The sequence below is a fragment of the Homo sapiens genome, chromosome 20 (genome assembly GCF_000001405.40).
Source record: "Homo sapiens chromosome 20, GRCh38.p14 Primary Assembly".
Classification (NCBI taxonomy): Eukaryota; Metazoa; Chordata; class Mammalia; order Primates; family Hominidae; genus Homo; species Homo sapiens.
In genome coordinates this window covers 54,273,265-54,296,154 of record NC_000020.11, presented here as the reverse complement: position 1 = coordinate 54,296,154, position 22,890 = coordinate 54,273,265, and the positions used below count along the sequence as shown (strand labels likewise).

The 22,890-nt window shown below is 39.2% G+C and overlaps 1 annotated feature.

The window, feature by feature from the left end:
• Window positions 10,488–11,687: an enhancer, noted in NCBI's record as "CDK7 strongly-dependent group 2 enhancer chr20:52901007-52902206 (GRCh37/hg19 assembly coordinates)". NCBI's record gives its function as "activates an origin of replication core promoter dependent on BRD2, BRD4, P300/CBP, MED14 and CDK7 cofactors, with strong dependence on CDK7, by STARR-seq in HCT116 cells {active_cell/tissue: HCT116}" and the evidence as "EXISTENCE:reporter gene assay evidence [ECO:0000049][PMID:35650434]".

Below are 22,890 nucleotides of genomic sequence, written 5' to 3'. Positions count from 1 at the left end.
TCAAGGCAAAGGGGAAAAAAGTGAGTAGGAAGTGGCAGGGAAAGAAGTGGGAAGATGTTAGATATAAGATCAGGAAGATAGGAAAGACTCGCATTGTAAAGTTTCTGTGGTCATGCTAAGGAGTTGGGATTTTATTCTAAACATGATAGCAAGACAAAATTTCCCATAAAAGAAGCATCTTGTGCTGAGACATTATGAAGACATGTGAAAGATTTTCCATTAGGAACAAAATTAAGATTAGTAGATTCCTTGTCCAGCTCATACATCAAGGTTATCTCCATGTTTCATTGTCTTTGAGCTAAAAACTAAGAGGAATGGAAATGACTCTTGTCCACAGGAATGCCAACTATATTTGGTGGCATGCCATTGATTATTGTCCAGTGGATATTGACTAGTTTTGTATTTACTAAAGAAATTCATTTCAGCATTTGATGAGCTATATATTTGTCTGTTCTTTGGATTCTCCTTTGCACCAGTTGTAACATCTTATTGATTCCCTTATCAATTAATAAATGAAAGAAAATCTTTGACACATCTTCATTTTGTATTTGCATGAAGGTCAGGATTTTGCCTTTTTAAAACATCATCATTTAAAAGCATAAACACTCTCCACGATAGAATCATGTGCTACCAAACATTCAAACTACCACCCAATTTCAACATCCAGTTGTTGCCATTAATTAAGCAAATCGCCACAACAACATAGCTAATCCTATAACCTAACACACTAACAACCCCCACAAGCAATCTCTAAACTGCTATTTGTTAAGGTGTAAACTAGAGAACAACTCTACAACAGCTCCACATCCCTTTTACAGAAGATGCATTTTGCCTACCTACTTCTATTAATCACTTCTCACTATCCACACTTGTGATTGCACACTCCAAATCTCTCCTTCTCTTTACTAAATGACCTTGGTGGGGTATGGAAAAGGCATGAGTAGATCAAATGTGTGGAAGCTACCAGAAGGTGGTATATATGGAGATGGGTCACATGAAATGTTGTTTACAAACACCTGGGCTTCCTTTTCTCAGTTTTTAAACCAGGAAAAAAACGATCAATAAAATATGCCAAGTACATTTTGATAACTTGATCCCACTTCTCTGCTCTATTATAATATCTGCAAGATGTCAATTACTCTACTGAAATAGGATTATTTCCAAGTTTTACCTTTTTAGAGATGACTTCAGAAATACCTAGACATGCAGCAGATGTTGGTCAAGCCTCCAGAACATTAAAATGCCTGTGATAACTTTTTAGTGTGTTTTACAACTACAAATTCACAGAGTCAAAGACTGGAATGAGGGACTTGGAGAAGAGGGAAGTGGGAAAGTTGGGCACAAATTTCAGTTAATTAAGATGGGACAGTTCTAGAGATATAATCTACAACACTGTCCCATAGCCAACAATGGTGTATTGTAAACTTAAAAATTCCCTAAGTGGATAGATCTCATGTTAAATGTTCTTATCTCAATATTTAATAACATTTATTATAATATTAAATAAACAAAGTCACCTGTCCTGTTAAATAATAACCCTGATTCTGCTTGTATCACTTTTAATCTTGCAAAACATACAAGGCTATTTTAAATATTAATGAAAGCTGTAAGTCCATTATTTAAATTGAAATGTCAGGTGGATTTTTTTAATGATGGAAGCACACATTTCAGCAGCACATATTCAACGCACTTTTCTTTGAGATTTTACATTTCAGGCTGAGTTAGATAACTTTTGTCTTAAAAATGATAAAAGCAGGTGACATGCTGGACAAATGTATTAATTAGGACTTTTAAGGGCAAGTTATAGAAATTTGGCTAAAAATGGGTTAAGTAAAAGCTGGAATATTAGCTCATGCAGCAGGAAAACCAGCTTCAGGCATGGTTGTATCCAGGACCATCAGGTGTCATCAACATCTAGGCTCTGTTTTGCTTGTATTGGCTTCATTCTCAAAAAGTCTCTTTCTGTGTAGAAGTAAGTCTGCCAGCACACCAGGTTGATATCTCACCCAATAGTATAGCAACCCCACTATTAAGCATTGAATACTTAGAACACGTTTATAAAATCCTCATAATTGAAGTACCTCTATCAGAAAAAGCAATGGTTTTATTATCAAACATTTTCTATTGTTAAATGAACATTTAGCAGATTAACAGGCAAAAAAAAATCTATAATATACATTTCCAAATAGAAGTCTCAATAGAGAAAAAGCTTCTTTCAGAAAGTGAATAATTTCTGCTAAGGATCAGAGAGGACTTCTTTTTTCTTTAATTTCATTTCACTTAACCTCCAGGCATTTGGCCACCTCTACACAATCAGTGCTTTTGTTTTTCTTCTACTTTTAGTTTCAAGTCACTGAGCCAAAGCCCATGATAAATGACTATTCCATGACTCCCTGACTTCAATTTTTTGTAGATAAACAATTCCAGGATTTATGATTAATATACCTAAAATATTATAGAAAAGCACAACAGTGTGAGGAGGGGCGATGAGTTCTGACAATAAAAGAGGTGAAACAATTTGGCAAGCTCACTGGGTCTTGGCTGGGAGACATTTGGCTCTGAGCAGGAGTCATAACTGCCAGGCTAAATCAGGGCAATTATAGTGATGCATTTATAATAGCAAAGTCGGTTTCAATTCACAGAACAAAATCTGGGAAAACACACATTGTCCCTGACAACAACCATTTAGAGTTTTCACTCTTACTGGGTACCAATGTAAATATATATAGATATATTGGTTTGTATCTATACACACATACATACATATTTTTCCTATATCTCCATCAATTCCATTTTCTCTTTGCAGTGAGGTAAAAATGGCAGGCTGGAAACAGAAACGGAACGGGAAAGGATCTGTATAACCGTTTATTCTCTGAGCTTTGACCACATCTCCCAAATCTGATTAGATTTGCTTCTTATTGCCATCCAGACAAGATTTATTCTTATTTGAGGGCATACAGAGTGAGAAGAAGAGGAAGGAGAGAGAATGCAAGGATGGGAAAGTGTCAACAGAATTGTTTGCACTTCTCGAAAGTGAGGAGTGAAACTGAAGCTCCCCAAAGCAGCACTGAGTGGGTGACACTCCTAGCATTTTTCGAGCACTTGTGATACCTGGCTTTGCAAATGTGATTTCACTGGATCCTCTTGGAAAGCTGTAACAGACATTGATGGTGCTGTGACCTCTGAGTTCATCTGCAGCTGCAGAGGCCAGCTTTGTTCAGTCTCAGGTGCACCTCAAGCACCCCAGTTTCTGCTTCTGCCTCCTGAGAACAGGCTCACCTGGGACAAGCCATTGCGAAGGAATTACTACTGTTGAGGACACCCCTCAACCAATGGGGGACCTACCTCCCATCCTTCTAATGAACCATTCTGGGAGGCATTCCCTATGTTTCTCAGCAGGTTCTTGATCAAAATGCTTATGACTTTTCTTAGTCCTTTGTTTACTCTTCCCACTACTTCATTCTCAATACCAAGGATCCTCCATCCCTCCCTGCCCCCATAAACTATCTTCACCCAAATCCCTATCTCAGAATTTGCTTTCAGGGAAATCCAAGCTAAGGCATAAGCTTATTATATTTCCCACTTGAGAGATGAGGAAACTGAGGCTCAGAGAAATTTGGCACAATACTATAAAGCTGGTAGGGAACAGAACCAGGATTTGAGCCTAGACTTTGGAGGCATCAAAATGTGTGTGTTTATCATTACACAACGCTGCCTCCTGGAATAGAGTAACCCTTGGTTTCACCTCTCCCTCTTCCTTTAATGAGTCATCAAAAACACATAATTCATCAGGCCCATGTGTTAGAACCTTCTCCTTGTGTGTCTTTGAAGAGCTTCATGAGAACGTGTTTGCCTCATTGGAAAAATCCAGCTCGATGCTAAATTGTATAGAGCTAATGATGTTGGGAAATTCAGATCCATTCAGCCAGTCAACCAGTATTTAGAGAGGGTTTACAATGTGCTATGTGCTACAATACTAATTGCTAAGGGTAAATTAATGAAAAGGAGACCTACCTCTCAAGGAGATTGCAATAGAACTAATACTTATAAATTCACAGTACTGAGTGGTGAGGCTGGTTCATGCTTAAAACACGCAACTCATCCAGCTAGAGATATATCTGTGGGTTAGGTGGGGAGAGGGAGTCAGAATTTCCAGAGAAATACTTTAAAAACTTTTATGCGCATCCAAATCACCTGGAGATCATATTAAAATGCAGATTCTGATCCAGGAAGCCTGAGACAGCACCTGCATTTTAACAAGCTCCCTGCTGCTGCTGCTGCTGCTGTTGCTGCTGCTGCTGAGCCTGTGCCACATTCTGAACAGCAAGGCTTTGGAGTGCCTCTGGCCTGTGTCTTTCACAGCTTAATTACGTTTTCCCAAGGGGACATAGTTAATCTTGGTTTTTAGAAAGAGCCACCCTATTATCAAACACATTAGGTAGAATGAGATTAAAACTTACAAGAATTTAATTCAAGTAGCTCATCATTGGGTATTAACTTGGAAATAAATGTATAGGGAAGACAGTAAAAGTCTAAATGTAATGCTCGCACTAAGCACTTCTTTACAAGAAAGCAACTCATGCAATGGAGAGGCATGACTGTGCTTTTTCTTGCAGTGGTGTTTCAAATTGCTTTGCAAGTGACTAGCTTCTCAGAGTAGTCACCAGGCTGCAGGTTCCATGAATCCAGAGGCCATGTATATTTTGTTCCCTCCCTGATGTCAAACAGCTGCTGCTCCATAAATATTGATAATTAATAATGGTAGCACCTATTTTTCAGGGCTTAACTAGATACTGGTACTTAACACATAGTATATCATTTAATCCACACAACAACTCAACTAGTTAGATACTGTTACCAGAAAGGGGTTCCAATCCAGGCCCCCAAGAGAAGGTTCTTGGACCTCAAGCAAGAAAGAATTCAGGGTAAATCCATAGAGTAAAGTGAAAGCAAGTTTATTAAGAAAGTCAAGGAATAAAGAATGGCTACATAGGCTGCTTGACTGAGTGTACTTGTAGTTATTTCTTGGTTATATGCTAAACAAGGGGTGGATTATTCGTAAGTTTTCCAGGAAAGGGGTATGGATTTCCCCCAGAACTGAGAGTTCCTTTTCTTTTTTGACCATATAGGGTAATTCCTGGACATTGCCATGGCATTTGTAAACTGTCATGGCGCTGGTGGGAGGGCCTTTTAGCATCCTAATGCATTATAATTAGCATATAATGAGCAGTGAGGACGACCAGAGGTCACTTTCATCGCCATCTTGGTTTTGGTGGGTTTTGGCCTGCCTCTTTACCACATCCTGTTTTATCAGCAGCGTCTTTATGACCTGTATCTTGTGCCAACCTCCTACCTCACCCTGTGACTAAAACGCCTAACCTCCTGGGAATACAGCCCCAGTAGGTCTTAGCCTTATTTTACGCAGCCCCTATTCAAGATGGAGTAGCTCTGGTTCAAATGCCTCTGACAATACTACAATTATTCTCATTCTACAAAATAAGCCTGTCAACAAAGGCTCAGATTTAGGTAAACTGGAGCAAAGTAAGTAAGTCCCTTCAAGTAAGTGGCAGAGCCAGACAATTGACTTTGAACTCAGGCAACTAGACTTAAGAGTACACGCTAGTATTCAAGGATAACTTTTATAAGAGGACATAATCATGACACACAAATAAAAGATAAAATGTCAAAAAATTATGTAACGTATTACCTAATGAGAGAACGACTAGTTTTGACATGGTTCAAAAAGAATCTTTATAGTCAGATAAGGAAAGCAGAAATGAATTTACAAACGATTGCAGAACTAGCAAAAGCAGTCAATATCCACACAGCAATAATCAATTCCATTTTTCCAAACTCAATTTGCTGTTCTATGGACAGGAATTATTTGCATTTCTATCAGCTTTCTTACAGAGTTGTAAAATTGACGAGACCGTGGCAAACAAAGGCAAAGCTAGCCCAGTTGGATAGTCAGGACACCCACTGAATTTCAGAGTTTTTCACAATTTTCTTTATACTATTGATCATGTTGCTATATACTGTCTCTCTAAATAAGAAAAGTAAAAACAAGGGAGTGAATATTTGGAGGGAAGAGCTCAGTTATGGTGGAAACATCCTTCATTTCTAACACTGTATTTCTAGCACATAGTTAATGCAACGTGAGGTCTCAACAGGTACTAGTTAATGTTGTTGTGTTAATTCAGAGACTGACTGACCAACACTCTGGGCTATAACTCTCTGCCCCAGATTGGAGTAAAGAGGAAGTATAGTTTTGGCGATGGAGAAACTGCGTGTGATTGGCAATTTCATAAATATTTTTGGCCCAAATATTGATAGCAGCAAACTTCCAATTGACAATTCTTAGTGACACATTTTGCTCTGGACAAAACTCCCTGGTTTAACTTGTGCCTTTCAGTTTTTCTTTTTAACATCTTTAAATGAAAACAACTTGGCACAGTATACCACTGAAGTTCAGAGCTTGATATTGCCCCAACGGACAATCAGCTGCATTACCATTTGGGCAAGAGATCTCTGGGGTTGAGGGACCACAGTACAATAATGTACCTTAAAATGCCTTTGTTTCCTTGGTCCATCCTGAAGATATGAGCAATCTGAGCTATTAGAAGCAGCACTCCCTTCCCCCTTCCCCAAGGCCCCACAGAAAATAGTTCTCTTTGCATGGGAAATATGATGTATTTCCCAGACTAGTTTGCCCAAGAAAACATTTGATTGGAGCCACCCATTTACTTCTACTAGAACTAGCGCCGTTTGGAACACATTTGGGGAAATGATCCCTAAGTATGCCCAATAAGAAGGAACAGGTGAGGCCTACTTTTAAAATGTTATATGACTGGATGTCGTAGAAATCTACAAAGTGCCCTTCAGAATGGACCTGCCAACTTATATTCCCACCACCAGGATATCTGTTTCCCAAACCCTCGTCAACACAGCAATTGTGTATCTTCCAAGACAGTAAATTGGACACTGTGAGAATTCAACCCACCATTTTTGCATCTCCTTCATTTTTCTCAGCTCATCAGGCAAATCTATTTTTCACAGGAATAAACATGACAATTAAAAATTAACCTAGCCACCTGGTAAGCTGCTGCTCATGTGTCTTTCTGACAAGAACAGACTAGCAGAACTCATCTGGGAAGTAAGAGTATAGTTTATTAGAAATGATAAGTTGCGCTTAACTGGCTGTGAAGAGAATGGAGAATTTATTCCCTGTTCCATGATGGGGACATCTAAGTAGAACTCTAATTTGGCTTTCAAACAAATCTAACCATACCAAATTACCACCAAAATATCATAAAAGTTAGGTGCTATTTTTATATTTAGTTTCTACCAATTTATATTATACAACAGAATAAGATACAATGTGGCAGATTATAAAACACCACACATTTCTTTGCAGTTCTTTCATTGAGATATGCAGTCTATTTTTCTGCAAAAATACGGAACCAGCCCAAATGCCCAGCTATCTATGAGTAGATAAAGAAAATGTGAGATATAGATTTTATATATATATATATATATATACATACACACACATACACACACACACACCATGGAATACTACTCAGTCATAAAAAGAAATGAAATAATGGCATTTGCAGCAACCTGGATGGAGCTGGAGACCATTATTCTAAGTGAAGCAACTCAGGAATGGAAAACCAAACATTACAGGTTCTCACTCCTAAGTGGGAGCTAAGCTATGAAGATGCAAAGGCATAAGAATGATAAAATGAACTGTGGGGACTTGGGGGAAAGGGTGGGAGGTGGTGAGGGATAAAAGACTACACATTGGGGTAAAGTACACACTGTCGAGTGATGTGTGCACCGACATCTCAGAAATCACCATTAAAGAATTTATTCATGTAACCAAACACCACCTGCTCCCTAAAAACCTATTGAAGTAAAATTTTTTAAGAAGTTATGTCAGAAATGCAAATGTGGAAACGCCTATCAGTAAACAAGGCAAGTAAATTAGAGTGTAATTATTAAACATTCATATACTACACGAAAAAATGACTTTGATATACAAATTAAAGGACTCATTTGAAGCCTAAAGAAAAAAAGAAAGAGAGAGAGAGAAATGTGGCATCTATTCTCCATTCTCTTGAACGGAGAGGATATGACAATCTAACTTCGAGCCTAGGCCCCCGAGAAGCCCCACAGGTTCTGGTCTCAGCTTTCCAATGTTATTGCTGTGTGAACACGTGCAAGAGAAACTCTAGTAGAGACAATATAGATGAGAATGGAGAAGCCCCAGCCAACTGCCAGACGTGAATGAGGTCACGTGAGAGCACGCAGACCCAGGTGACCTGCTAACGGAATGCAAATGCCTGAAAGAGTCAAGCCAACACTGTGTGGAACAGAGAAGAACCATTCCAGCTAAGCCCAGCCCTAGTTTGCTAGCCCACTGAAGAGTGAGTTGGAAAAAATGATGTTTTAAGCCAAAAGATTTTGGGCAGGTTTGTTTATGCAGCAAAAGATAATGGATAACAAGTATATTTTAAATAAATTTTCATATTATCCCACTACAAATTCTCCATCTGAAGTTTAAAATACTAGCTTATTACTATAGAAATGTTTCTAAATTTCAAATTCAGTAGTCAAATAACCATTGTGAATTTTGATTTTGCAACTGATTGTTATCAATTATTTGTAAAAGAAGGCTTGTTTCAATCAAAGTATAAGCCATCTAGTCATGTCCACCTTAATGACATACATCAAAATTTTCCCCCTAAGTTTCAACTAGGGCAATCCACATAGAAATTTCATTTACTTCCTATGAGAGTAGGAACAGTTCCCTATCCCAAAACGGATTTTTCTGTTCACTGCTGTAACCCCAGCAACCTAGAATAGTGCCTGGCACATAATAAACACACAATAAGTATTTATGGAACAAATGTGACAGGTTCTCTAATATTTGAATAAATGACATGATATTATCATCATGTTCACAGAAAAGCCAGTCTTTTTTTGTGTCTAAAGTAAATGATAAAATGATATTCAATGTGTAAAAGCATATTCATTAGTTTCACGCGAGAGTGATTATAAGTTCTTCCACCGGTAGTTATGTAGCTAATAACCTGAGGAGTTAAGTGTAATTAAGGCATATCACTCTTGGGAAAAAAAACTAATATATTTTCCTGTCTCTGCATTTATGTTCTATTCATTAAAACCTTATAGTCCATTAGTCCATTAATAACCACAGAATACAAAAACAGTGATGTGTAGGTGATTCTGTACTCCACATCACTCTTTTGGTGAAAGCAATTAGTCACTGAAGTGACAACAATATTCAGCAGCCACCAGAGCAGAATGCTTGTTAAAAAAAAAGTTTAAAAGTAGGCAATATTAATAATTTACTATTGGTATCTATTGCATTCTGGAGAATATTACGACAGAAAGTAGGCCCTTGCATGTTGCATTCTGGAAAATGCTAACACAGAATCAAAAGATGTGATCAAGAACTAAAATAGAGTCATATTTGGGATTTATCATCTGTTTCTATTGTTGTTGTTTTAGTACACACAAAGCCACAATAAATATTCTAGGCTACATACATTTTTGCATTATTTGGGGGATATTTTATAGGATAATTGCTAGGGATGCAAATATTTGACATTTTTAGTTTTCAGTTCAGCTACTGCCAGTTGCCATCCCTGAAGGATGTATTAACTTGCTCTGTGCTATAGAATATCACATAGTCGTTAAAAAGATTAAGCAAGATTGACAGTTTATACAAAGACAATTGAAAAAGGAATCTGCAAAACATTATGAATAGTATGTAACAATGCTTATAAGAAATTAAAAGTCAATAATGATAGATAGAAAAGAAGAAAAAGACATATGTGCCAAACTATTCATAATTATTTTATTTGAAAGTTATTTATAAGGCACTAATATAATTCCACATTGTGCTTTTTAACCACATTTGAATTTTACATTACACATTTTTATTTTTGTTTCAATGGCTTTATTTTTCTTTTTTTGGTATTTTTCATCTTTAAAATATCTGACTCTTCTTAATAACCCACTTGTTTTAGTTGCAATTCTTTTGCCAAACAGCAAATACCCAACCGTTTCCTAAGTAAGCAAAGACATCCAGCTTTCCATTCCTCCTCTCCATCTATCATCTATTCAAACAACAACAAGTTTGTAGCTAGGTAGTTGTAGTCTTTGTTTGTGAGAGAAGGTGAACCAAAAATATCTTCAAGCTCCCAGAATCTCTCCCTTCTTTCCTCTGCCATCTTTAGCATTTTGGATTTTCAGCCTTACATTTGTTTCTTTATACACAAAAGATGCTTCCTCAACTCTAGGCTTCAAAAACTCCTGTGACCAAGTTCAAAGTGGAGTACAGAAGAGGACAACGATTCAACTCTTCTCACATTTCTTTTTTCTTATTTCAGGAACTTCTCCTTTTTTCAAAAGCCCCTTACCTTTCATGCCCAGGCTTGTGTTACATGACATCTCAACCAACCACAGACAAAAGGGAACAGGATTTCCAAGGCTTAATGAATTCCCCAATACTAGGCATAGAGAAAATAAATGGAGCTGTATTCGCAATGAAAAAGGAAAAGGGGTGGGTGGGCAGTGGACCAATGCCTGCCACTCCTCTTCTCATTTCAAGAAAGTGATTCACTCCTTTATTTCTTTGATGGTCGTAAACATGTTTCCTGAGTCATTATTTCCACTTCCTCACTTGTGAGTTCTACCATTTTATGGAACTTCTGACCATCATTCCTGGAGGTGTATTTTCTCATGTTGGTTGTAACTTTTATTTGGAACTTTTCTCCCTGACCTACTCATTCTCTCCAAGAGCCTAACTTCTTTTTTATCCTTTTGGTTGTCCTCTGAGCTATCCTCATCACTGTCTCTAGAGTAAATGTTGTTCTGTGCCTGCCCAGCAGCCATTTACTTTTCTTAGAAAACAGGGGAATCTGTCCTTCACCCTACGTGGATGTTATGCCAAAGCCCAGGTGCTTTCTACTGTGTTAGGCTTGCTCCTGAAAGAGCAGTCTCAGGGACAGGGGGAAGGTGAAGGTTAGAGCGCAATGGGTTATGGATGAGTAGAAGGCAAGAATGGAAAAGCAAATGTAGTTGTTGGCACTTTGCTCAGTGGCTGGCACATAGGAAAGCCTTTAGAAATGATAACTAATTGTGATGATGTGACAGCAGCGTGTAAATGTGGTTCCAAATTTAAATATTTAAAACTACATTTAAATATTTACATACTTGTTAATGGGTACAAAAGTACAGTCAGATGGAATAAGTTTGTGTATTTGATGATACAGTAGGAAAATTACAGTTAATCATATATAGTATTGATACAATACTATATATTATTACATCATACTGTATTATATTATAGTTAATAATTTATTGTATATTTCAAAATAGCTAGAGGAGACAAGTTATAATATTCCTTCCCAACATAGACTGGGTGCAGTGGTTCACGCCTATAATCCCAGCATTTTAGGAAGCTGAGGTGGGAGGATTGCTCGAGCCCAGGAGTTCAAGACCAGCCTGGGCAACATAGCAAGACCCTGTCTCAACAAAAAATAAAAAAATTATCCAGGTATAGTGGCACACACCTGTAGTCCCAGCTACTTGGGAGGCTGAGGCAGGAGGATCACCTGAGCCCAGGAGGTCAAGGCTATAGTAAGATATGCACTCCAGCCTGGGTGACAAACGGTGACCCTGTCCCAAAACAAACAAACAAACAAAAATGAATTTGTTCCAATACAAAAAAAAAAAGATAAATCTGTAAGATGATGAATATCCCAATTCCTCTGATTTAATCATTACACATTGTATACATGAATCAAAATATCACATGTACCTCAAAAATATGTACAACTATGATCAATATAAAAATACAACACATATTTACATATTTAAATATTTAAACTCTAGCACCTGAAAATTCTTTTTGTTGTAATGAAATTAGCTTGACATTAAGAGAAATTATGTGAAGTCTTATCAGAAGTACAGCAGTGCTTCTCAAACATCTTTCTATCACGGCACACACAGACGGTGATCATCTTCGTGAGGCCCACCGGGGTTAATGAGGGGGATTCTGAATTCTCCCCAAGGCTGCCGTGGCTGGAGTCAGTGTAGGGCCCCCAGACATCCCAAAGCTTCCCCAGCCATCGCAAAAGGCATCCCCATCACACAGGACACCAGCCAGAAAGTTCTGGGATGTGAGGTTTGAGTCCTATCTCCCTCTGCTCCCTGCTCTGAGCAGCTTCACCTCTCTAAGCCTCAGTTTCCTCATCTGTATAATGGAAACCATAGTGAAACATACTCCAGCAGGGTTTTGAAAAGGTTAAATAATAAAACAACTAAGATGTGTTAGATAAATAATCAGTACTCTGTATTTTTGTTATATCCTGGAAATTTCTGTTCAAGATGGCTCTGTATTGCATGAAACAAGGACTCTCTGAAGGCTGAAGAAGGATTCTTGGCATCCTAGCCATCTGAAACCTCAGTCCTAACCTTTCATACTGAATGCTCTATAGCTCAGCAGCATTTTATTTCTCTTTATGGATAAGACAACAGCACTTATCTGCCAGAAGCAATCATTTTAGCTATGACTTCAGACCCTTATGGCAATAGAAATGAGATCTTGGTAGATTTCAGTAAACACATAACTGTTGTATTTGTCCAGGGTTATACTTCAGCCCTGGCTTCCTTCTGCAAGCTGCTCTCGCCTCTTTCTGAAGCTATTTTTTCTTGAAACCATCTGTATGATTGTACGAGGAACAGCAGTGTCACCACAGCCCACCTTCTGGCCCATTGGTCCAGGGTGGGCTCCTGATTCAGACTGGAACAATAAGGCACCTTCTTTGGGAAACTGAGAACTAGACTGAGAAAGAGAAGCTGGACACACATTTCAGAAAAGAAGCTGTAAATTTGGGGAGAGCTCCCAGAGACCACACAGAAAAGGCCCAGGGATGCCAACAAAGGGGAGACCAACAGAAGACACAAGTGAATGGGCCAGATTTACAGAGAGGAGCAGGAAAAAAGAAGACAATAATGGTTATGGTGTATGATTTTCTGAATCCAGTTATCCCTGAGGCCTAGCCACATCCCTCTCCTGAGATTGTGTGGGATATCTCAGAATCCTTGTAATAAATGCTTCTTTTTGCCCAAGCTTATTTGTGATAGCTTTCTGTCATTTATAACCAAAGGAGACATGCAAGCTGTTGGAAATCTCAGGCCTATTATTTCCCATTAAATACATCTGTACGTCAGCGGCATTCCATTTCTCTTTATAGAGAGGCAGCAGCCGCCATCTGCTAGAGGCGATATATTTTAGGCAGGACTTCAGAACTTCACAGCAGCATAAATGAATTCTTCTTGGAAGATATATTCAGTGTGAGAGAGAGAATTAAAGCTATCTTGGTGTCTTCCTAAAAAAATCAACTGTCATACAACCTGCTACTCTCCAAAACACGTGCTGGGTGCTGGTATTTACATGCTTGAGTTTAGTAAGTGGAAAATTTGGAGACAGAATAGATCACGTTACTGTGTGTATGTGTGTTGTGTGAGTGTGTATGTGTATGTGTTGACGGTAAAGGAAGAGGTGGTGGGTTCAATGCAAGCCCCAGCTCATTGATTGTATAGATGAGGATACCAAGGTCAGAGATGAAATAACTCCAAGGAAAATCCAGAGTAAACAGAGGTAAAGAGGATGAATTTCACTCACTTATTCAAGACATATTTATTGGGAGTCTTTCCATCTCTGGGACTGTGCTCTGTCTTAGGTACATTCATATCGTTTTGTTCAACAAATATTTGTTGACCCCTTTTGGTATAAAGATTCCATGTAAGTTCTTTGGAAGATGAAAACATCGGAAGATAGAACCTCAAGGGTATGATAAGGAGGGAGAGGAAGACAATGATTCATGAGTTATAGCTAGAGTTACATGGTATCATAACACACCCATCTTGATGAAATGCCATAGCAAGTAATTGAAAGCTCCCAGTTGTGAAGCCCCTGCCCCAGCTGCTTTGCTGCCATAGTGGGAGGTGGGGTAGCATGACAAGCCAAGAACATGGGTTGTTATTTATTGTTACTTACAATTACTTACAGTTATTTACAGCTACTGTGGTTACTTGCAGTTGTTGACTGGCTTTGTGCTTTTGGGCTAGTTATTTGCCTTCTGTATGCCTCTGTTTCCTTAAGTATAAAAAGGAGATAGCAATAGAGTTGACCTCATGTGAAAACTAAATGAGTTTCTTCATAAAAAGCAAGTAAAATGTTGCCTAGGCCAGGTGCGGTGGCTCACGCTTGTAATCCCCACACTTTGGGAGGCCGAGGCAGGTGGATCACCTGAGGTCAGGAATTCAAGACCAGCCTGGCCAACATGGTGAAACATCGTCTCTACTAAAAATACAAAAATAGCCGGGCATGGTGGCAGGTACCTGTAATCCCAGCTACTCGGGAGGCCGAGGCAGGAGAATCACTTGAACCTGGGAGGCGGAGGTTGCAGTGAGCTGAGATCATGCCATTGCACTCCAGCCTGGGAGACAAGAGCGAAAGTCCATCTCAAAAACACAAACAAACAAAAAATGCCTAGAATATTCCCAGCACTTGCATAATAAATGCTAATTTTGTTGTTGTTGTCGTTGTTGTTACAAGGACAAAAATTCAGTGCCAGGCATTATGCAAGTTACTTCAGACACACCATCTCATTTCATCTTAACAATACTGGGGAATGGTATCATAATCCCTACTCAGAGACACTAGCTTGTCTGACAGCATACAACTGCTACCTGCAACGTACAAAGCAGAGATACAAATCCAGATCAGTCTAAACACAAAGAATGTACTTCTCCCACGCAAATACTTTAATCACAGATGCAATTAATACTGAAAAACAACGGACAGGAAACATGACATCAGTTGTTTTCGAGCCTAAGTGGATACCTACATCACCCAGGATACTTAATTTACAGATTCCTAATCCCCACCCAGACACCTAAGTTGGCAAATATTGAGTAAGCTGTAGAAATCTACAATTTTAACAAAAATCCCAGGGCTTTTGTTGAAGGGGTTTGCAGTTTGATTGATCCAGATTCAAACCTGAGGTTCAGAAGTTAACCTGTTCCTTCAGGACTTTATAGAGATAGCAGTACCAAATTCCAATCTGAAGTGTGGGAATGACCCCGACCTAGATAATGCGTAGATGAGATATTTCAGGCAGGCCCAATAGCCTGAACACAGGTGTGAGATAGAAGTGCATACAGTGGACAGGTGGACTACACTGACTACAGTAGTAAGAAGTAGTGGGAAATAAAGCTGGAAAAGGGAATAGGGGTCGAGTTGTGGGGAGGTCTCAAGCCATCATGAGGTACATCTGGTGTGATGATTATGCTCAGCTTGCAGACAGCCATTTCCAAATTTGGTGCCTGCATCATTTATTATTGTGATAATGCATTAGCTTCCTAAATGGTTTTCCCACTTTGCCTTTTGGTCTTCTACATCCATTCCCCAAACAGTAGCACCAAAGTCAATTTAAATAATATAGATCAAATTATATCCCTCTCCTTCATAATAGCTTCCCATTGCCCTAAAAATAAACTCTTCACCATAGTCTACATGGCCTGACTCCTGCTCCCTGGCCACCCTCATCTTCCAATACCTGCCCCTGTTCAATGGACTTCAGTCTTCGGCCTAATCTTTCTCTTCCTTAAACCTTAATCCTGTCCCCAACTCAGGGCCTTTTCCCCAGCTAATCCTTCACCTGCCAATCTCTCTATTCAGCTCTGTCATTGGGATCCCGTACAAATGTCACCTCTCAGAGTCAGTATTGATCACTCAATTGCAGGTTTAGCCATATACCTCCCATAACTTCTTGATCGCATCGCCTAATTTTTTTCCTTCATAACTTTTTTTTTTTTTTGAGGCAGAGACTTGCTCCGTCACCCAGGCTGCATTGCAGTGGTGCGATCTCAGCTTACAGTCACCTGGGTTCAAGTGATTCTCCTACCTCAGCCTCCCAAGTAGCTGGAATTACAGGCTTGCGCCACCATGCCTGGCTAGTTTTTGTATTTTTAGTAGAGACAGGGTTTCACCACATTGGCCGGGCTAGTCTTGAACTCCCGACCTCAGGTGATCTGCCTGCATCAGCCTCCCAAAGTGCTGGGATTACAGGCGTGAGCCACCGCACCCAGCTTCCTTCATAACATTGATCACCATCCATATTTGTCTGTTTATTTTATAGTCTGGCCCCCAACACCAATAGCACTCTGTGAGGAGTGACCTTGAATATTCTACTCACTGCTTGCTATGGTCTAAATATTTATGTCATTACCCCCCGCCGCCCCTGCCAAATTCATGTTGTAAAATGTTAACTCCCAATGTGATGATATTAGGAGTGAGGTCATTGGGAGATGATTAGGTCATGAGGGTAGATCCCTTAGGAATGGAATTAGTATCCTTATTTTTCAAAGGCCTGAGCTTTTTCTCCTTCCACCATGAGAGGACACATGGAAGACACCATCTGTGAACAAGGAAATGGGTCCTCACCAGAAACCAGATTTGCTTAGCACCTTGATGTAGATGTCTCAGCCTCCAGAATGATGAGAAATACATTTCTGTTGCTTATAAGCCACCCAATGTATGCTGTTTTGTTGTAATAGCCTGAATGGACTAAGATACTGTTCTATCCCTAGAACTTACAGCAATGCCTAAAACCTTGCAAAGGCTTAATAAATATCTGTTGCATCAATGGGTGATGATAGAGCCGGCAAATACTCTGAAGAAGCGATAGAAGTTGTGGGTTAAAAAACAGCAACTTTAGTATCTCCTGGCTGCTGCTGTAACTATGACGGTCTCTCTATTAGGATCCTTTAAAAAAAAAATCGAAGAAACTGTTTTTGTTATGTTAATGGAATTTAATTAAACTAATGATGTCTGATTTCCAACTATCTCAGGGCAGTCTACTAACCTTCTCCTGGCAGTTCAAATTGCTCTGAAGTATGAGAACGCATTTACAATTATTCTGACAAAAAGAGTTAATTAACAGAATACTTAATCACACATTTGAGTTTTAATATATCAGCAGTAGATGTCATTTTCATTAATATGCCCCAATATTTATATTTCTTGAGACTGAAAGAATGTTGCTAATGGGGGTAGAGAGGAAGAGATCATTTTCTTGTTGAGCAATGTCCATAAGATTAAGTACTTAGACTGCGGTAAAAAATGAATGCAGCAACCTTTAAATCCCTTCCATATAGACAAATGAATGTATTTTTCATAATAACGTTGCCGCAACTCAAGGCAGTATAGTGGATCACAGGGACTTTGCCTGTGAGTATCGGATTTACAATGCAACGTACCAAGCGGGGAGAGAAGCTATGACACGTTGATTATCAAACTAAAATAATATCACTTGCACTGCATCATTTGTACACTGGCAGCCTACACATCTCTCCAAAAATTATTTAGGATCAATGCATTATAAGCCTGAAAGGAACCACTTTCAGTATACCAACTCCCAGTCTCAACTGATTCTGGTTAGTAATGTGTAATGGAGGGTTTTCCAAATTCAAATGGAGAGAGCAAAATCTCACTTTCAATTCCAACTGGAGGCGCTGACATTTAAATCTGTCATGAGCAGTGCAGCCTCATCCTAATTGCAAAATTTCATGTGCTTTATTGTATTTAAATCTTAATTGCATATTTAATCATAGGAATTGCAAACTACTCACAGCAAAGCAGACACAGCGACTAGAGTACACTTGATGTGTCCATTAGGGACAAACGAGAATTCAGCATCTGTTTGGAAATGCAGAGAAGATGAAAACTTGGACCCAAACAAGAAAAAAAAAAAAAGGAAGGCCAAAGCTATCTGAGTTCTACCCCCCCGACACCCCCCACTATGATGATCACATTTTTTCTGCATTGCTTCTTATCAAGAGAATTCTAAAGCAACTTTATACTGAGGCTATACATAGATGAAATTAAATTCAGGTAAAAGCCATTTAAGTAGAAGGCCATTTGTTTCATCTGTCTTTTCCCAGCAGGCAAATTTACTAAGGTTTATAACTGCATAGAAAAAAGAATCAAGGTTTTAATGAGGTTTAAAAAAAAAAAAAAAAAGACCCTCAAACTGCAGGAATCTTATCTCTTAGCTCTCCGAACTTAATCTTTTTAAAGGCCCCAAGTCTAGAGTAGACCTGAGCTGGGACAAAAACAGTCAAATATACTAAATATAAAAATTTCCTCTAAACGACAATTAAACCAAGACAGTTTCATTTATCTGAGCTTATGTTTATTCATTTGTTCATTCAACAAACAATTATCAAATCCCTATTTGACAGGTACTGAAGATACAACAGTTAACATCATGGGCCAAAACCTTTACTTTTATAAAACGTGTATTTTAGGAGGATGTAGACAATAAATATAATAAGTGAATTTAAAAAGTTAGAAAGTGCCAACTGCTACAGAACAAGAAAGAGAGAGAGAAAGAAAGGGGGAAAAGGAAGGAAGGAAGGGAGGGAGGAGGATATTAAGAAAGTAAGCGGCTGGGCTCGGTGGCTCATACATGTAATCCCAGCACTTTGAGAGGCCAAGGCAGGTGGATCACTTTAGCCCAGGAGTTCAAGACCAGCCTGGGCAACATGGTGAAACCCCATCTCTACAAAACAATACAAAAAAATTGGCCGAGTGTAGTGGGGGCACACCTGTAGTCCCAACTACTTGGGAGGCTAAGGTGGGAGGATGTCTTGAGCCCGGGAAGTGGAAGTTGCAGTGAGCTGAGATTGTGCCACTGCACTCCAGCCTGTACAACAGAGCCAGACCTGCCCCGCCCCCAAAAAAGCAAGCAGTATAAAAGGGCTGGGAATGTCAAGAGCAAAGATAGGGTGCAGTTTGTAATGGACAATAAGGTATCTTGTCACAAAACAAATTACCCCAAAACTCAGCAGCTTAAAACAAGCACATATTACTCCTGATCGTTTCTGAGGGTTAGGAATTCAAGAGCAGCCTAACTGGGTAGTTCTAGCTCAGGGTCTCTCACCAAGTTGTGGTCAAGCTGTCATAGGGAACTGCAATTACTTCAAGGCTCAAATGGGACCAGAAAAACTGCTCCAAACTCAGTCATGTGGTTGGTAGGCCTGTTATTTACTAGCTCTTGTCCAGAGACATTTGTTCCACAGGAGAATTTTTGTGGTCTCTTTCATAATATCCTTTTTACTAGTTAATTCATGATGTAAAGCTGGGCTTACCTGGTGAACTAAGGTTTTCGAGAATGCTGACTTCTACATCGGGGTGTGGCCTAGGGACACAAAACAAGAGCAGCAAGTCTTGTTGGTGTGTAGTCACTATGTGCCTTGATGACTGAGTAGTCACTATCGGCTAAACACTGTACTAAGCCTTGTATTGGCGCTAGTCAATGTGATGTAGAAGCTCTCTAGGAGGAACCATCTTTGCATTTTATAGTTAGGAAAACAGACAGGGCTGACAAGTTTTGTCTGAGGTTACATGACTAATAAATGTCAGGGCTGGGACTCCCAACCCATACTAAAATATCTCCCTCAAATAAATGAACTGCATCTAGTTTCCATGGGATGGGACTTCTTTTTCCTTAAGTCATTCGCCCCAACTAAGCCATTTAGCAAACTAATTATTGTTACAAAAACAAAATTCTCACAGTTAACACTCTTATTTGTTTAGTTATAGACAGATAGATACATACACAATCAACATAATCATATATAGGTACACACACACACACACACACACACACACACAGATAACCAACAAAGATTCAAGGAGATGAAGCAAGATATTAGAATACCCTGCCAATGTTAAAAATCCTGCAACAAGAATTTCCAATTAAAAAGGTTCAAGCTTAAAAGAAATTGAGCTCATAATTCATTGTGAAAGAAGAGATATGAAACCTTGTAGCATTTTTAAAGAACACTTTTCTGGTGACAAGTACAATTTAAAGGATCTTATCAAGATAAATTTTTCTTGTTGATGATTAAACCTACGCTTCTAAACAGTTGGCTGGGGCATGGTACCCACATCAGGTGATAGATTTAGGACATTTATTTGGGTTCAATGTGGCAAAAAGGAAACATAAAATGGGCCTGACTATGGAGACACCTTCTTATTGGTATCCTTTATTGATACCTCTCCATAAATCACTCATAGCTCCGCTCAGTTCCACCCTTCTTGACTCATGAGAAAATCAATAACTTGTGGAGATAAATCACTTACTTAGCATAACTGCCATTGTACATTCCATGGTTATACAACAAAAGTGGCAGATAAATAACCAGGTTTAACTTCCTGAAGGAACTTTTCCTTCAAATCCTTTTTTACTAGTTACCAATTAAAAATACAGTTTATATCAGTTCAAAGACAGCAATAGCCTTGAATTCATGGGAAGGCAATGCCACAATTGTGCCAATCCATAGACCACCGAGGCATCTCCAGGTATCAATTATATAACAAACTCCAGGCCTGATCCTGTAACAGACACTGAGAAGTAAGAGACTGAGTTAAGTTAGCACAACGAAAAGAGAAAAAGCTCTGTCACTTGAAAGAGTTGGCTTCAATTCTGGTCTGGCCATTTAGTGACTGTGTGTGGCTTTAGCAAACGACTATGCTTGTGATTGCTTTGGTGTCTTCAGCTGTAACATAGCAATATTATAAAATACCTTGCAGAATATTTGTGTTGATTATAAACAGAGAAAAAGACAGAGCCTGGCCCATGGAATATGCTCCATAAAGGCAATTATTGTCATGGTCTTCATCATTGTTATCTGCATCCCTCATAAGGATATTCATCAAACGTTTGTGTACCTGCACTGTGCTAGCCAATGAGCTAGATGGTAGGGGACATGCACAGTACTCCAGATAATGGGAAATAATTATAAATTAATTAGGCAAAGAAAGTGAGGTCAAAGAGAGGCACACAGAAACTTAATAATTGTATCATTAAGAATACATATTAAACAGTGTTGAACTAACTTACATTCCCACCAACAATGAAAAAGTGTTCCTGTTTCTCCACAACCTCACCAGCATCAGTTGTTTCTTGACTTTTTAGTAGTCACCATTCTCACTGGCATGAGATGGTATCTCATTGTGGTTTTGATTTGCATTGCTCTAATGACCAGTAATATTGAGCTTTTCTTCATATGTTTGTTGGCTGCATGAATGTCTTCTTTTGAGAAGTATCTGTTCGTGTCCTTTGCCTACTTTTTAATGGGCTTCATTTTTCTTCTAAATTTGTTTAATTTCCTTGTAGATTCTGGATATTAGACCTTTGTCAGATGGATAGATTGCAAAAATTTTCTCCCATTCTGTAGGTTGCCTATTCGCTCCTCAAAGATCTAGAATCAGAAATACCATTTGACCCAGCAATCCCATTAGTGGGTATATACCCAAAGAAATATAAATCATTCTATTATAAAGATACGTGCATGCGTATGTTCATTACAGCACTATTCACAATAGCAAAGACATGAAATCAACCTAAATGCTCATCAGCAATCAACTGGGTAAAGGAAATGTGGTCCATATACACCATGGAACACTATGCAGCCATAAAAAGGAATGAGATCATGTCCTTTGCAGGGACATAGATGGAGGCAGAAGCCATTATCCTCAGCAAACTAAGGCAGGAACAGAAAACCAAACACCACGTTCTCACTTGTAAGTGGGAGCCAAACAGTGAGAACACATGGACATGGGTGGGTGAATAACACACACTGGGGCCTGTCAGGGGGTGGGGTGGGGGAAGGGAGAGCATTAGGAAAAATAGCTAATGCATGCTGGGCTCAATACCTAGGTGATGGGTTGATGGGTGCAGCAAACCACCATGGCACATGTTTACCTATGCAACAAACCTGCACATCCTGCACATGTACCCCAGAACTTAAAATAAATTTTTTTTTAAAAATACCATATTTCAGCCGGGCGCGGTGGCTCACACCTGTAATCCCAGCACTTTGGGAGGCCGAGACAGGAGGATCACGAGGTCAGGGGATCGAGACCATCCTGGCTAACACGGTGAAACCCCGTCTCTACTAAAAATACAAAAAAAATTAGCTGGGCGTGGTGGCGGGCACCTGTAGTCCCAGCTACTCGGGAGGCTGAGGCAGGAAAATGGCGTGAAGCTGGGAGGCGGAGCTTGCAGTGAGCCGAGATAGAGCCACTGCACTCCCGCCTGGGCAACAGAACGAGACTCCGTCTCAAAAAAAATAAAATTAGCATATTTCTTAAGTTGGGTGGTGAGGTCAAAGTTGTTCATTTTATTGCTATGTTTCATAATTTGAATATATTGAATACATGTTCTTTTGTATATTGTATCAAAGAGACAGTATGCAACCTGGCACTTTTTTATACCCAATAAACATTTTAGTTGAGAGGTAAATAATCTTTAAATTTATATAGTATTTTATATTTATAGTGGAGTCAACTCCTTGAGGGGTATAAATAAACTATTTTCTTCTGAGTGGTTGAAACCCTCTTTCCAAATCCCGTAATAGTTTTTCATAAATTCAAAAAAATTTTTTTTCCAAAGATGGTGTCTCGCTTCATCACCCAGGTCGTACAATGATTGCAATGATACAATCATAGCTCACTGCCGTCTCACCTACCTAGTTCACCTACCCTAGTGCTTGCCAGACATGTGGGCAAAGGTGCTTGCAGTGGTGAGAAGGGCATGAATAGCTTCTTATGCACCTCCTTGGCTGGAACGTTTCTGTTGTTGGGTTGTTGGGTTGTTGGGATGTAGGACAAGGATTAAGAGGGAAATGTCTCCTTGCTGGATAGACAGTCTCCATGCTCCGCTCTGTGGTGGCTGCTTCTCTTACTACTCTTCACTGGCTGTCAACGCCCTCTGTGTG